At 48.5% G+C, this 14,498-nt stretch overlaps 1 protein-coding gene across 8 annotated transcripts; it reads left to right on the top strand.

The window, feature by feature from the left end:
• KCNE3 (potassium voltage-gated channel subfamily E regulatory subunit 3) lies at positions 793–13,501 on the top strand. Of its 8 annotated transcripts, XM_017017048.2 has the most exons (5): positions 793–944; positions 4,017–4,080; positions 5,487–5,594; positions 6,239–6,387; positions 10,739–13,501. In XM_017017048.2, the coding sequence occupies exon 5, from the start codon at positions 10,779–10,781 to the stop codon at positions 11,088–11,090; it is 312 nt and encodes a 103-aa protein (XP_016872537.1). In that variant the 5' UTR covers positions 793–944; positions 4,017–4,080; positions 5,487–5,594; positions 6,239–6,387; positions 10,739–10,778; the 3' UTR covers positions 11,091–13,501. The 8 variants fall into 8 exon arrangements, with proteins under 8 accessions (XP_016872537.1, XP_016872536.1, XP_016872540.1 ...); XM_017017047.2 differs by lacking the exon at positions 4,017–4,080; XM_017017051.3 differs by lacking the exon at positions 5,487–5,594.

The following is a 14,498-nucleotide window of genomic DNA, read 5'->3' as shown; positions in this document are numbered from 1 at the left end:
AGAAATTCTCTGCAACTGTCCCTTCCTCTGCCACTAGCCTCCTGGCTCTTATTCCTCAGCTGCCCCGGCTGCCCCAGTTCTCTGAAGCCTGCAATGTCACCAGCAAGGAAACAACAGTTTGAGTGAGGGCATGGTGGTGGGAAAATAAACTGTTCTGGGACAGAGATGAGTAAGGTGCGGCTGAACACAAGTTGGTCAGGCACTGTCACGAACTTTTGAGGCTTGGTGGAGGAAACATTTGCTGGTGCTACTCAGAGACAGAGGGGTGTGTAGTGGATTTTGGGTCTGGGCTCTGCTACCTGGGCAAATCCCTTCTCCAACTGGGCCTCTGCGTCCTGTGTGGAAAAGAGTTTGTGTAAGAATCATATTATTTTGCTGTTGACCCTTTGGTTTTAATACTTTGGACTCAAAGGTCTCATCTGACCTCAACCATAAGCCTGTGAAGAATGCATGGAGGAACTGTACCAACTTTACAGCCAGGCCAAGGCCCAGTGAGGGGCAGCGACTCGCCCACCACCACACAGCCACACTGGAGCAAAACCGACTCCTGGAGATCGGCCTCATGCTGGGCTTGCTGAGGCCCAGCGGAGCGAGAGGCTTTCGGTCTCTGGTCCAGGAAGCAGGCGCTGCAGGGGACGGAAGGGTCGGAGCCCACAGCCGGGGGAGGCCAAGGAGCTGGGCGGAGGCACTCCAGGCCAGCCCGGGGAGAAGTGGGTGTGCTGGGGCCCGGGCGGGGCAGGGGGAGGGGACGCCCGGGGGAGGGAAAAGGGAGCCGAGCGCGGGTGGGAGCCCAGAGCCAGAGAGCGCGCTGGGCGGTGCTGGGCACCCGCGGAGTGGAACGGGGCTGGTGGAATGCACAGGGTCGCAGCGCTTGGGCCACCCTCGGTCAGAGGGCGCCGTGTCCAGCGAGCAAACGGGCGCCCCGGAGCCTTGCTGAGAGGCAGGTAAGGCACCCACCCAGCTGGGAAGGCTGAGCTGCGGCCTGGGGTGGAAATGAGGGGTCTTCCCGCCTCCCTTCCAAGGGCCACGGCGCGCTCTCCGTGAGACTGTGGAACCGAGGGGGAGTGGGGGAGGGGTGGGCGCTGCAAATACCAAGCTAGTCCTCCCGGATCCTCCCCGATCCTCCCGAGCGCAGTGATCGTGGAGCAGCATGTGGGAGTAGGGAGCTGGGCTCTGCGCGCCCCGTCTGGAAACCGTGGGGACTTGCGCCGTTATTCCCAGCCCTCAAGACGGCCACAAGAAAAGTTCCTCCACACCCACAGACGTGCAAGCGAACACTTGCAGCTGGCAGCCAGTGCACACGCAGAAACGACATTTCAGGACCCAGCACAGTCTCATTTGGCTGGAGCCACCGGCTCTGCGGAGCTGACTTGCCCATTCCCTCTACACCTCACTGTGTCCTTCACCCTGTCTGACCTAGTCCCGGGAAACCTGGTGACTCCCAAAAGCATCTTCTGCTGCCAGTAACATAGGTCGAGGCTGGGAGTCGGGAGACTTGAGTTCTAGTTTACAGGCTGTGTAAACCCGGGCAGTCATCCCTCAGCTCTGCGCCTTGTGCTCGCTTTTCCTGGGCCACCATTTGTAAAACGGGCCTCCTGCTCCTGTTGCCTGCATACCCCATGGGACAGAAGGGGAAAGGGGGATTGGACCTCAGAGTCTCTTATCTCGAAAATAAATGAGTTTAGTTCTTGCGTGAAAGCCCACCAGAGTATCCCTCCTAAAATCCTCTCCACTAATTTGCATATAGGGAAACTGATGCCCCAGGGGAGATGATTTACCTAAGGTTACAACAGAGACCAAACAGAATTAGAACCCAAGTTTCCTCAGTCCTAGCCCAGGGCTCTCTCCACTTCACCTACAAAGGCATGTTGTAAACGTGTGAGCTCCTCCTTATTTCCTTGCATCCGTCCACTTTGTCTGTTCCTGATGGAGGAAGACCCATGCTGGGGGCCTAGAAGCTGCTTTCAGATTTTCTTGACTCCTTGAGATGATAACCATCACCTTCTCCATCCCTCACTCAGTCTATACGTCTCAAAGCACATCCATAAACTTAATGTGCGAGTGCTCAAAATACCTTCTAAGAGGGAAGCAAGACAAGAAACTCCATCTTACTGATGAGGAAAATGAGGCCTAGAGGGATATAGACTTAGAGTGATAAAGTTACTTAACCAAAACGCACGGCTAGACGTGTTGGCCTAGTAGGGGCAGGAACCCAGGTCTCCTGATTCCCCCTCTGATGTGTTCTCCACCAGCTACAGGACTACAGAATGGTACCCCTCAATGATAAGGGACTGCGGGAATGATCATAGAGGGTAGGAAACAGGAAGGCTTCTGGAGAAGGTGAGGTTCCTGGGAATCAAGAAGAATAATAAGAACCTCCTGGCTGCTTCTGAGGCTAGGAGACCTGGAGTGGGAAAGGAGACACAGAGATGGTTGTTCTTGGTAATATGGGGGGAAAGGAAAGATGTGGAGACAGAAAAGGAAAACAGTGTGACCAGCCTGCCTGATAATTATCTTGTATGTTTGCAATTTCTAAAACATTCCCATCTCTTGTCTCCTCTAGTTCTCATGTGTGGTAGGCAGGGCAGGGATCATTATCCCCATCTTATAGATGAGGTTCAGAGGAAGTAAATGCAGTGCTCAAGGACACAGAGCCAAGCATACAGCCAAGATTAGAATCATGAAAGGAACACTTGAACGGCAAGATCACAGGCTGAGGGACTGGGGAGTTGGACTGTGTGTGTGTGTGCAGTGGGTGGGTGTATGTGGCCACACCCTGGGTAGGTACACAGGGAAGAGGGTTGCAAAGCCATTGCTGGTGTTTTGAGGCCAAGAATGTTTGCCCTTTGGATTGAATGGGGTCCAGGTGCAGGGAGCATCTGGGCTTCCAAAGAAGGCTTAGAATTCTTCCTCCTCTGACTCACCCCACCTGACTGAGATGGCTTCTTTTCTTTGAGCCATCCCTTCCCCAGACCAAATGAAATCTGTTTTGCCCTGCCCTGGAGGTTGCTTTTTAAATATTGTAAACTGTTTTCATGAATGTATGTGCGTGTGCCAGAGCGGGGGAATGCTCTTAGAGAAGAGGCATTGATTCATTTATTCTTGAATGCCTGCTAGGTATCAGGGCTGGGAAATAAAGAAATGTATGAGGCACAGGACCCTGCCCTCTTACCTTAAAGCGCACAGTTACACACATACACATACACACACACACATACACACACACACACACACACACAGAGTTTCAGTACAGTATAGTGCTCTAATAAGCCTTCGTGCAAAGCACTTTTGGGAAAAAACAAGAGGGAGAGACTAACTGGCTAGGGAGTGAGGAAGGAGGAGTCCCAGGAGAAGGTCTGCAGAGATGAATTGGAGTTGGGTCTTGAAGGATGAGTAGGAGTTTGCCAGGCAGGTAAAAAGAGGAAGGGCATTCTTGTTTAAGAAAACAGCATGAGCAAAGGCAAGAGATGTGCAAGTGCAAGGAATATTTGGAGAGTGGCCTGTACTTCAGTGTCATGGGTGCAGGCCACTGAAAAGAGCTGTGGGGAGATGAGGCCAGTGTCAGAGTCACATTTCAAGGAGCTTCAGTGGTAATCAGAAGAGTTTAGAGTCTGCCCTACTGGCAGAAGGGAACTTATAGTGGAAAGGTCTGTGGAGGGGAAGTCAAGATACTTGGTTTCTGGCTCCAACTCTGCCACTACTGAGCTGTGAGACCTTAAGCAGGTGATTCCCTTGGGGAGGAGGGTCTATTTTCCCACTGGTTGAATGAGGGGGTTGCACCAACAACATGATCATGAAGATCTCTTCCAGCTCAGATTCTATTCCTTTGTCCTTCCAACTGGATGCTAAGGGCTACTCCTTCAACTCCTCTCCCACTCCACCAGCTCTCCAATCCACAGGAGTGGTAAGACCACCAAGGGGACAGTGGTAAAACTGTGCACCCCAGGAACTGTCTTTGGATCACCTACCTGCTTTATGTGACTTTTTCTACCTACCTCTCTGTACTTCATTTCCAGACACTGAAGACGCTCATTCTGAAAGAGTAGCTGAAACGGAGTGACGGGAAAGAAAGACCCAAGGGTAGAGTTTCACTTTTCCCCAGAGCAACCTGAATGAAAACCCCACTAAGATCCCCAGTTCATCCCTCAGATCACAGCTTTATTCCCCAACTTCCAAGTTAGGGGTTGGACAAGTGTAAGGCAAGTGCAGTTTGTGAGAACCTGTGAATGTATGGGAAATAGCAGGAACAGAGAGTGAACCTGGCTCATCTGGGGAATCAGGAGTAGGTCTGGAGCAGTGGGGTGCATGGAAGATGAGAGCATAAACGAAGTCTAACTCCTCCTCCCAAGCTTACCAACCTCCATCTCACTGGATCATTGACTAAGATTGGCGAGAATCTGTGGTGCATGAAAAGGCCATAGTGACGAAGTTAGAGGAGATGATGCCCCATGACACTAACAGGCTGTGTCTGGTGTGATGTGAAGCTTAGGTGTGAGGAAACACTGCCATTTGTAGTGGAAAGAGCACCTGAACAGTAGCCCAAACACCTGGGTTCTTGTCTGAGTGCTGCCATTTATGGGCCATGTCATTTTGGACTAGTCACTTCTCCCTTCTGAGCCTCAGTTTCCTCATCTACGAAATGGAGGGGTTGGCCTGGAATCTAGATTCTAGATGATCCTTAAAGTCCCTCTCAGCTTGGCCATCTGCTCACCTTCCTTCCTCACTGGCCTATCTTCTATTTCAAGGCAAGACCTCTCCAGGGCAGGAGCTCCATCTCCCCCATCCAAGGATCTCAGTAATCAGGGACTCTCCTGGACAGGGAAGCCAAGGAGCTCAGAAACAGTGGCAAAACTCCCCTGTTGCTGACTGCCAGTCCCCAGCTTGAGCCCCAGAGGCAGCCCCAGAGCCCCATAGAGAACCAACTTGTGCCTTCATCAGCTTTCTGCCTCTCCTAACGCAGACAGGAGGCCCTGGCACCCCAGCCTTCCCTCCCATACAAACCCAGCACCTAGAGATGTGGAACTATGGCCCCTTTCCTCCTCCTGTCAGAAGCACAAACATCCTAGTCTATTCAGAGAGACCCTGAGGCATGAAAGGTCTCATGAATCTTTATTCCCCTCATGGAACCCTGCCTCAAAGCCCACCCTACCCTCCACACTGTCCCCTTCCCCCACCTTCTGCAGAGTCTATCCCCTCCTCAGGCTAGATCATCCTGGCAGGTGAGCTGTGAAGAGGAAAAATGAGTAAATCTCTCAGTTTGGCTCGACTGGGATATTAGATGTCAGTCAGTCCCAGGGCTCAGAAGCATCTTAACCTGTGAGGAAGAGGTCCACAGCCTTCTCTATCTTGGGATTTGAGAAGCTCTAGAAAGCCCCCAAAATGCCTCTCCCATCAGCCTCTCCAACTTCCCATGGTCTCACAGCATGGTTTCATGATTCGTATCATCACAGGACGTTAGAACCAACTGAGACCCCTTCATTTTACAGATGCGGACAGAAGCTGAGGCCCAGAAAAGGGAAGTCTTATGTCCAAAGTCACACAAGGAGCAGCTGAGCTGGGACAACTCCCCTGGTTTCCATTTCCTTCACCGTAAAGTGAGGGCATATAGCCTAGATGGGCTCTGAAGGCCCTTCCAGCCTTGCTCTACAAAAACAACCACCGTATGTGCAGTGTCTAGTGCCAAGCACTACATGATGTTCTTTAATTTTCACAACAAAGCTATGCTACAGATAGTGTTCATTCTGTGACCGTGTTCATATCCTGTCTATCTGAATAGATTGGGTGGTAACACATCATTTGTTCCTATGTAAAATATCAACCCAGCTGCCAGTTGGCATTCTCCCACTCATGTCAATTCCCTTGGGATTCGAAAAGGACCTTGCTAAGGTAACCCTTAGGAAAGGGAATGTTTTAGGCTGCACCATCAGCTGGTCCCTGAGTGGGAGTCCACATTTTAAACAGGTTTCTCATGAAGTCACCCAGTGAAGACACTGTAAGTCTGGAGGTAGGGGACAGCAATCAGAGGCCCTTTGGTCACTGCACAGTTCCTTTAACTGCAACCCTAGGCTGGCCTGACCCAGCTGCTGCAGGAAGGGGAGGGGCCATGGGAGGGGGTCAGAGCCCACAGCAGGACTGTTGCATAATCCTTGGGGCCTGGCCTTGGGCAATCCACCCTGGTTCTGAAGTTTGTGCTTTGTGTCTGGTTCCTTCCTTTTCTGCCTTCTCTCCTGCTTTCTAGCTCTGGGCTTTCCCAGCTCCGAAGTCAATACTGAGATCCCAGATGTGTCCAGAGACATCCTGAAGAGGCTCGGGGGTGGAGGAGCCTTAGTGTGTCCACAAAGGGACTCCTGAAACTGACTGAGAGCCAGTGGATTTGCCAGCAGTCTGGTGAGTCTTCCAGATTGAGATTTCCCTCCCTCTCCCTGTCAGTTAAAACCCCTTTCCAATGATACCTAAGAAAACTGAATGGTAACTGCCCTGCCCTGGGATGGAGCTTGGGACGACTAGGAGCTTTCACCTTCACTGTATGTGCTGCGTCCATTCTTTTTTTTTTTTTTTAAACCTATGTGTACATATTTGCTTCTTGAAAATAAAAAAAAAGTTTTTAATCCTCTTCTACATAATACAAGTATATGCTCATAGCAAGCCTTGAAGGAGGAGGGAAAGGATGATCATCTTTCTTTGTGGGGTTTTTTGTTTGTTTGTTTGTTTGTTTTTTGAGACAGAGGTCTTGCTTTCCTGCCCAGGCTGGAGTGCAGTGGTGTGATCTCGGCTCACTGCAACTTCCACCTCCTGAGTTCAAGCGGTTCTCCTGCCTCAGCCTCCTGAGCAGCTGGGAATACAGGCGTGTACCCGGCTAATTTTTGTATTTTTAGTAGAGACGGGGTTTCTCCACGTTGGCCAGGCTGGTCTCGAACTCCTGACCTCAGGTGACCCACTGGCCTCAGCCTCCCAAAGTACCGGGATTAAAGGAGTGAGGCACCACAGCTGGCCTATTTTTTAAAATTGTGCTTAAAACACACACACACACACACACACACACACACACAAAACATAAAAATATACCATCTTAGTCATTCTTGAGTGTACACTCAGTAGTGTTAACTAGATTCACCTTGTTGTGCAGCAGATCCCCAGAATCTCCTCATCTTGTAAAATTGAAACTCTATACCTACCATACAACAACTCCATGATAATGTCTTTTGGTAGATGAGGAAACCAAAGCCCACCCAGGGAAAGGAACTTATTTCCTTCAGAGTAGGCTCATCAAGACACTTACACTGTTTGTTTGTTGTCTACCTATGAAATTGCCTGAGGCCCCTTCCTCCTTCAACCCTCACTTAGCCATTTCCTCCTCAGGTCTTACGACTGTCTCTACCCCCACTTCCCTACTTTGTTATCCTCTCTGCCCCAATTCATGACTCAGCATCTTACACTAAACTATTTCAAGACTCTGGTAGCTGGGCTCACTGCCTCAATTCCAGCTCCCTCCAGTCCACATGACAGCCAGAGTATCCTTTCCAGGCACAGATCTGACCATTTTATCTTCTTTTAAGATACCATTCCATGGCTTTTCCCTAGCTACAGAATAAAGTTCCAACTCTACAGCGTGGCACTCAAGGCCCCCCATGATCTGGATCCTCTCTCTCCTGCCCCACATCCTACACTATTCTTCCACACATCTTACACTCCAACCTCTTTATGCTACTTTCCATTCTTCTAAACATTTACACACTTTCTTGTTCTGCCTTTGCTCATGTTTCCTTCATCTTTTCTGCCTCTTAAAAACCCTTCAAGGTCCAACTCAAATGCCTCCATCACTGTGGACACTCTCTGAGCCCTGATCAGTATCCATCACTTATTCCTTTCAGCCTTAGTAGCTCTTTGCTTGTCCCCTGCATTGTATCAGAGCCCCTGGGCGAAGGCACTGGATCTGAGCCACCCCGAACTCCCATCACAGGGTGTGGCCCATATTGGTGATAACTATCTAGATTATTTTTTGAGTTATTTATTTCATCATGCTGCTCCTACTTGCTATTGGCCCACACGAGGGAAGCAGCAGCCACAGAGTTCTTGCCTGACACATGGGGTAGTAGATGAGAACGTGTATCTCCTGGATCTTAACTCAGTGAGCTCTTGTTCTTTTCCCCTCCTCCATCCAGACAAGGCAGCACAAGTACTAGATGTCAGAAGGCCCCAAAGGCCTTGCATGAAATGCTGCCCAGTCCTGGCTGATTGTGTTCATAGAGCCATTGATGAATATTTTTCATAGTCAGAATGATCATCTTTTCCAGGGAAGAGATCTTATGGTTAATAGTCACATATTAGTTTGTTAACAGTTCTACCCATATGATGGAGGACTGAATGCTTGGCCCATAGAGAATTCCTTAAAGTGAACATCTCTACTAGAAACTATTGAGAGAAGGAGAGCACCCAGCCAATCTAGAAAAAGGGAATACCCAGCCAGTCTCAAGGTAGTGCCCTGGGAAAGGAGAACACCCAGTCTCAGGGTAGTCCTCCAGACTGGGGTAAGAGACATAGCCCTGCTGACCAGACGCATGTGGTCTGATGATATCCTTATCAAAAACAAGAGGACAGCCACATATTGCCTTATATGTAAGTGCTGGGGGGAAGGGAAGGCTGTGATGATAAAGGCAGTGTAGTGTGGCTGAGAGGTGGGGAGCACTGAATGGAGGCTTCCTAAAGGAAGTGAGTGTGGGGCCTTGTTTATAGGGAATTACATATGGTTTTTCAGAGACAAGGATGCAAGTCTGTTTTAAGATGTTCTTTCTGGCTGGGCGCCTGTAATCCCAGCACTTTGGGAGGCCGAGGTGGGCGAATCACAAAGTCAGGAGATCGAGACCATCCTGGCTAACATGGTGAAACCCTGTCTCTACTAAAAATACAAAAAAATTAGCCTGGCGTGATGGCGGGCGCCTGTAGTCCCAGCTACTGGGGAGGCTGAGGCAGGAGAATGGCGTGAACCCAGGAGGCGGAACTTGCAGTGAGCCGAGATTGCGCCACTGCACTGCAGCCTGGGCGACAGAGTGAGACTCCGTCTCAAAAAAAAAAAAAAAAAAAATGTTTTCTATATTATAGACTAAGGATCTCTGAGAAGAAGGGAAAGGAACATTTATAATCACTTACTATATGCCAGGTACATAATGACTTTATTTCAGGAGACAAGATAGTTGGCGTGCTTGTGTCTTCTTTTTGTGGGCAGGTAAACCCCAAGCCAGACTGAGAACTCCTTTCACTCTCCCGCCCTCAGGCCCAAGCTGCTGTTCTCTTCTCCAGTGCCTGCAGTGGTTACCAACCTGTTCCCGTTTCCCTGACCACCTCTTTCCAACAGAATTTCTACAAATAGCTAGGAATATCTAGTCTTTGGGACACAGGATGCTTGAGAGGGCAAATGATCCAGCTTCTGGCCTCCAGGCAGGATGAAATTTAAACCATCCCCAGGTGTCTTCCAAAAGGTGTCCGTGGAGTCTTTTTTTTTTTTTCTTTTGAGACAAAGTCACGCTCTGTGGCCCAGGCTGGAGTGCAGTGGCTCTATCTTGGCTCACTGCAACCTCCACCTTCTGAGTCCAAGTGATTCTCCTGCCTCAGCCTCCCAAGTAGCTGGGATTACCAAGCGCTCACCACCACGCCCAGCTAATTTTTGTATTTTTAGTAGAGACGGGTTTCACCACATTTGCCAGGCTGGTCTCCAACTCCTGATCTCAAGTGATCCCACCCGCCTCAGCCTCCCAAAGTGCTGGGATTACAGGCGTGAGCCACTGTGCCCAACCTGTCTGTGCAGTCTAAAGAGAACTGTGCTCAAGGAGAGTTGTGATGAATGTCTTCTAATGGTGCTGCACAGTCCTGCTGAGAGCTAGCATGGAAGTGGAAGCAGCTCTAAGCTAGCCACAAAGAGCAGGGCTTTCTGTCTTGGCTCTACTTCCAATATTCTGTGATCATGGACAAGCCACTTATTCTCTCAAGGCCTCAGTTTCCCTGTGTATAAAATGGCAAGAGTTATATTAAATAATCCTTAAGTTCCTTCTAATCTAAAGTTCAGTGATTTATAGAAACCAAAGAAAGGAGAGATTAATATGGGTTCTGATGGTCAGGGAAGGCTTTGTTGTACAATTATTTATTGAGTACTTACTTATTGAATGCTGTCATAAGTGATTGCATATAGCAGTGAGTAAAACAAATATAGGCCCTGCCCTTATTGTTTAGTGTATGGTCTAATGGAGAAGACAAACATGTAATCAAGCAGCTAGAATAAGCTATTGTATTAGTCCATTTTCATACTGCCATGAAGAAATACCTGAGCCTGGGTAGTTTATAAAGAAAAAGAAGTTTAATGGACTCACAGTTCCACACGGCTGGGTAGGCCTCACAATCACGGCAGAAGGCAAAGGAGGAGCAAAGGCACATCTTAAACAGTGGCAGGCAAGAGAGCAGGTGCAGGGGAACTGCCCTTTCTAAACCATCAGATCTCGTGAGACTTATTCACTATCATGAGAACAGCATGGGAAAAACCCACCCCCATGATTCAGTTACCTCCTACTGGGTCCCTCCCATGACACATGGGGATTATGGGAGCTATGATTCCAGATGAGATTTGGGTGGGGACACAGCCAAACCATATCAGCCATGATGCTAAGATTTTACCTGGGATCTGAAGGGAGGAGGTCATTTGAGCTGCAGGTGACAGAGCCATCCCCTCTCTCTTTTCTTTTGCCACCAGAGCTTCTACCGAGTCTTCCCCCACCTCAATCCCTGTTGCTATGGAGACTACCAATGGAACGGAGACCTGGTATGAGAGCCTGCATGCCGTGCTGAAGGCTCTAAATGCCACTCTTCACAGCAATTTGCTCTGCCGGCCAGGGCCAGGGCTGGGGCCAGACAACCAGACTGAAGAGAGGCGGGCCAGCCTACCTGGCCGTGATGACAACTCCTACATGTACATTCTCTTTGTCATGTTTCTATTTGCTGTAACTGTGGGCAGCCTCATCCTGGGATACACCCGCTCCCGCAAAGTGGACAAGCGTAGTGACCCCTATCATGTGTATATCAAGAACCGTGTGTCTATGATCTAACACGAGAGGGCTGGGACGGTGGAAGACCAAGACACCTGGGGATTGCGTCTGGGGCCTCCAGAACTCTGCTGTGGACTGCATCAGGTCTCAGTGTCCCTATCTGTAAGATCAACAAGAAACACGGTTAAGGGAGGTCGTCACTGGGGTGGGAGAAGAGGGGCTGGTAGACCGAAGCCTTGTGCATAAGGATTTTTTCCCAGGAAAAGATAGACTTTATAAACAGTGGGAGCCCATGAACAAACATATAAAAGTAGCAACAGATAATGACCAATAACTGGTTCAGTGGCTGGAGTATTAGGGGCCTGGGGATTGGAGAACGGAGAAGAAGTTGTAGCAGAGGGAAATGAGACAGGAAGATGCTCTGGGGACACATTTTTTATGTGTTATCTTCAGCCATGAGAAGCAGTGATGACTATCCCATATCACAGATATGATTTACCACCACCACCCTGCCCCCGCTCCCGTGAAGAAAGCAGGGCAAGTGCTGTGCTGCCCATTTGGGCCTGCATAGTGCCATGATTGGAACCCAGGAACTCTGGTCTCCTTGCCTAGTGCTTTTCAAAACTCTGTGCTACACAGGAGTGGATCCAGGCCTGAAGGTCATACAATTCTGGGGACTCTCTTTAAGAAAAAGAATTCTAAAATATCTTACTTTTGCAAACATTATGAAAATATACTGCCACATTAATATGTTGCTAGGGCCCCTGCTAGGACCTTAAGAAGGAGCTCATGTGAGTCAGGACCCTGAATGTTAGGCCTCGTTAGCTCTATGGTTCATATGCTTCTTGAACCAAGTCACAGGGCACTTCCCAGCCACATTGCCAGGCAACAGGACTAAACTACCTCCAAAGCAAGCAGTCTTTTCAGTTTTGACTGAGTGATGTGAGAAACTTCTTTTCTTTTCTTTTCTTTTTTTTTTTTTGAGACAGTCTCCCTATGTCACCCAGGCTGTGGTGCAGCAACCCAATCTTGGCTCACTGCAACCCCCACCTCCCGGGTTCAAGCAATTATCCTGCCTCAGCCACCTGAGTAGCTGGGATTACAGGTTCCTGTCACCACACCCAGTTAATTTATATATATATATATATATATATATTTAAGTAGAGACAGGGTTTCACATGTTGCCCAGGCTGGTCTCGAACTCCTGTCCTCAAGTTATCTGCCCATTTTGGTCTCCCAAAGTGCTGGGATTACAAGTGTAAGCCACCACGACTATCTGAGAGAAGTTTTCTGATGTCATGTTGAATCTGCTTCTAAAAGACTGATACTGCCAAGGTGGGCGGATCACCTGAGGTCAGGAGTTCGAGACCAGCCTGGCCAACATGGTGAAACCCCATCTACTAAAAAAATACAAAAATTAGCCAGACCTGGTGGCGGGTGCCCGTATTCCCAGCTACTTGGGAGGCTGAGGCAGGAGAATTGTTTGAACCCGGGAGGTGGAGGTTGCAGTAAGCCAAGATCACGCCACTGCACTCCAGCCTGGGTGACAGAGCAAGGCTCTGTCTCAAAAAAAAACAAAAACAAAAACAAAAAAGACTGATATCGCACCTAAATTATTATTATATTAAAAGAAGCAGAGTATGAGAGACAGGTACATGGTCCAGTAGGAAGAGAAGCAGCCCTGATTCTACCACTTAAGGTGATGTATGATCTTAGGCTGGACACTTCTCTCCCTCATCCGTTTTCCTCTTCAACATAATGAAATAGACTTGAAAGTCTCTAAGGCTCTATCAGTTCTGACATTCTAGGCTTCATATACATTAAGTTGAGCCATATGTAATCACTGTGTTTGTAGGTTAGAAACAGCTGAGTATCGTAGTTTCATATATGGTTCCAGCTAATACATGCAATGTGGCTGGTGAACACTTCTGAATTCAGAAACTATCCCAGATCTCAGCTAGAACCATCCACTGTTCTGTTTGTCCAGTTTCAACTTAAGGGATCTCCATGCGGTCCCTGGAAGTACCCATTGAAACATGCGTATTTGTGTATAGCAGAACTCTGAAATAATATTCTGACAGCAGTTATCTCTGAGGAATTGGGTTATAGGTGATTTTCCCTTTCCGCATGATAAATTTATGTAATATTTGACTGACTTGACCGTAAGTATGTTACTTGTATAATAAAAGGAAAAAAGGTACTTCTATTTTGAAAAAATAAAAATAAAAGCCTTTGGGTTCTTGAATGGAGGATCATGGAACACATTTGCTGCCATATGCAGTTATGTTGATGCTCTGCAAACCTGTGCTGAGCCCTGTTGCTCAAGCCCTTCCTCATCTCTTCTTGAGGGAGAAGGTGGAGACTTCCTTAAGGAGATGTGACATATGGGAAGACAACAGATTCAGAAATTTACGTGGATAGGACTTTAGACACCACCCAGCCCAAACTTCCAAATAAAATATGGAACGCAATTGGGTGTAAGAATGAATGGTTAGGTGATGAATGCCATAAGGATTTTGAGAAATGAAATTGACTAGGAGGAGTCAGACACTTGAATTCATTTAGCTTTTAAAACCCTCATAACAACCCTATGTAGTAAGTAGGTATTCCTTACAAGTATTTCCACAGAGGTGTTTCTGCTGTAGCACCTTCATGTACCTTCAGCCCAGTTTAGGTCCCATGGTAGAACTTGAGAGAGGTAGAACTTGAACTGGGCTTTGAAAGCTAGGACAGAGCTAAATGGGCAGAGTGAATGAAGGGATCAAGATCAGGGAAGCTTGGAGGCAGATGTTGGGGAGCTCCCTCCTGGAGAGGGCAGGTAGGCTGGGGAGACAGCAGGAAGCAGGCCTCCTGGGGCTACTCCATGACTTCAGTGTCCCCAGTGGAGAAGGCTCCCCTTCACACAGTCCTCACACTCCATGGGCATAATCATAAAATAATACAAATTATTTTGGTTGTGAGTTACAGGCACCTGATGTATATTAGCATAAGTACAAAAGGGAATTTCTGAGGTGTATGGGGTAGCTCAAAGTTTAAAGAAGGAGCTGCAGACACCAGGGCAACTCCAGGGATCTCGGGGCCTGGAACAACGGATCTGTCTGAATTCACAAACTAAGAACTTGGTATGTTTCCTTACACACACCCAGGTTGGACTAAATAAAAATCTAGGATTTGAAGGGAGTAAAATTTAAACATTCTAATATCCTATGGTGGCCAGGCGCAGTGGCTCACGCCTGTAATCCCAACACTTTGGGAGGCTGAGGAGTGTGGATTACTTGAGGTCAGGAGTTCGAGCCAGCCTGACCAACATGGTGAAACCCCATCTCTTCTAAAAAAACCCACAAAATTAGCCAGGTTTGGTGGTGCACGCCTGTAATCCCAGCTACTTGGGAGGCTGAGGCAAGAGAATCTCTTGAACACGGGAGGCAGAGGTTCCAGTGAGCCAAGATCGCACCATTGCTCTCCAGC

The sequence above is a fragment of the Homo sapiens genome, chromosome 11, assembly GCF_000001405.40.
Source record: "Homo sapiens chromosome 11, GRCh38.p14 Primary Assembly".
NCBI lineage: Eukaryota > Metazoa > Chordata > Mammalia > Primates > Hominidae > Homo > Homo sapiens.
Note: the sequence above shows the minus strand (reverse complement) of the source record. Positions and strands in the feature narration are given on the sequence as shown.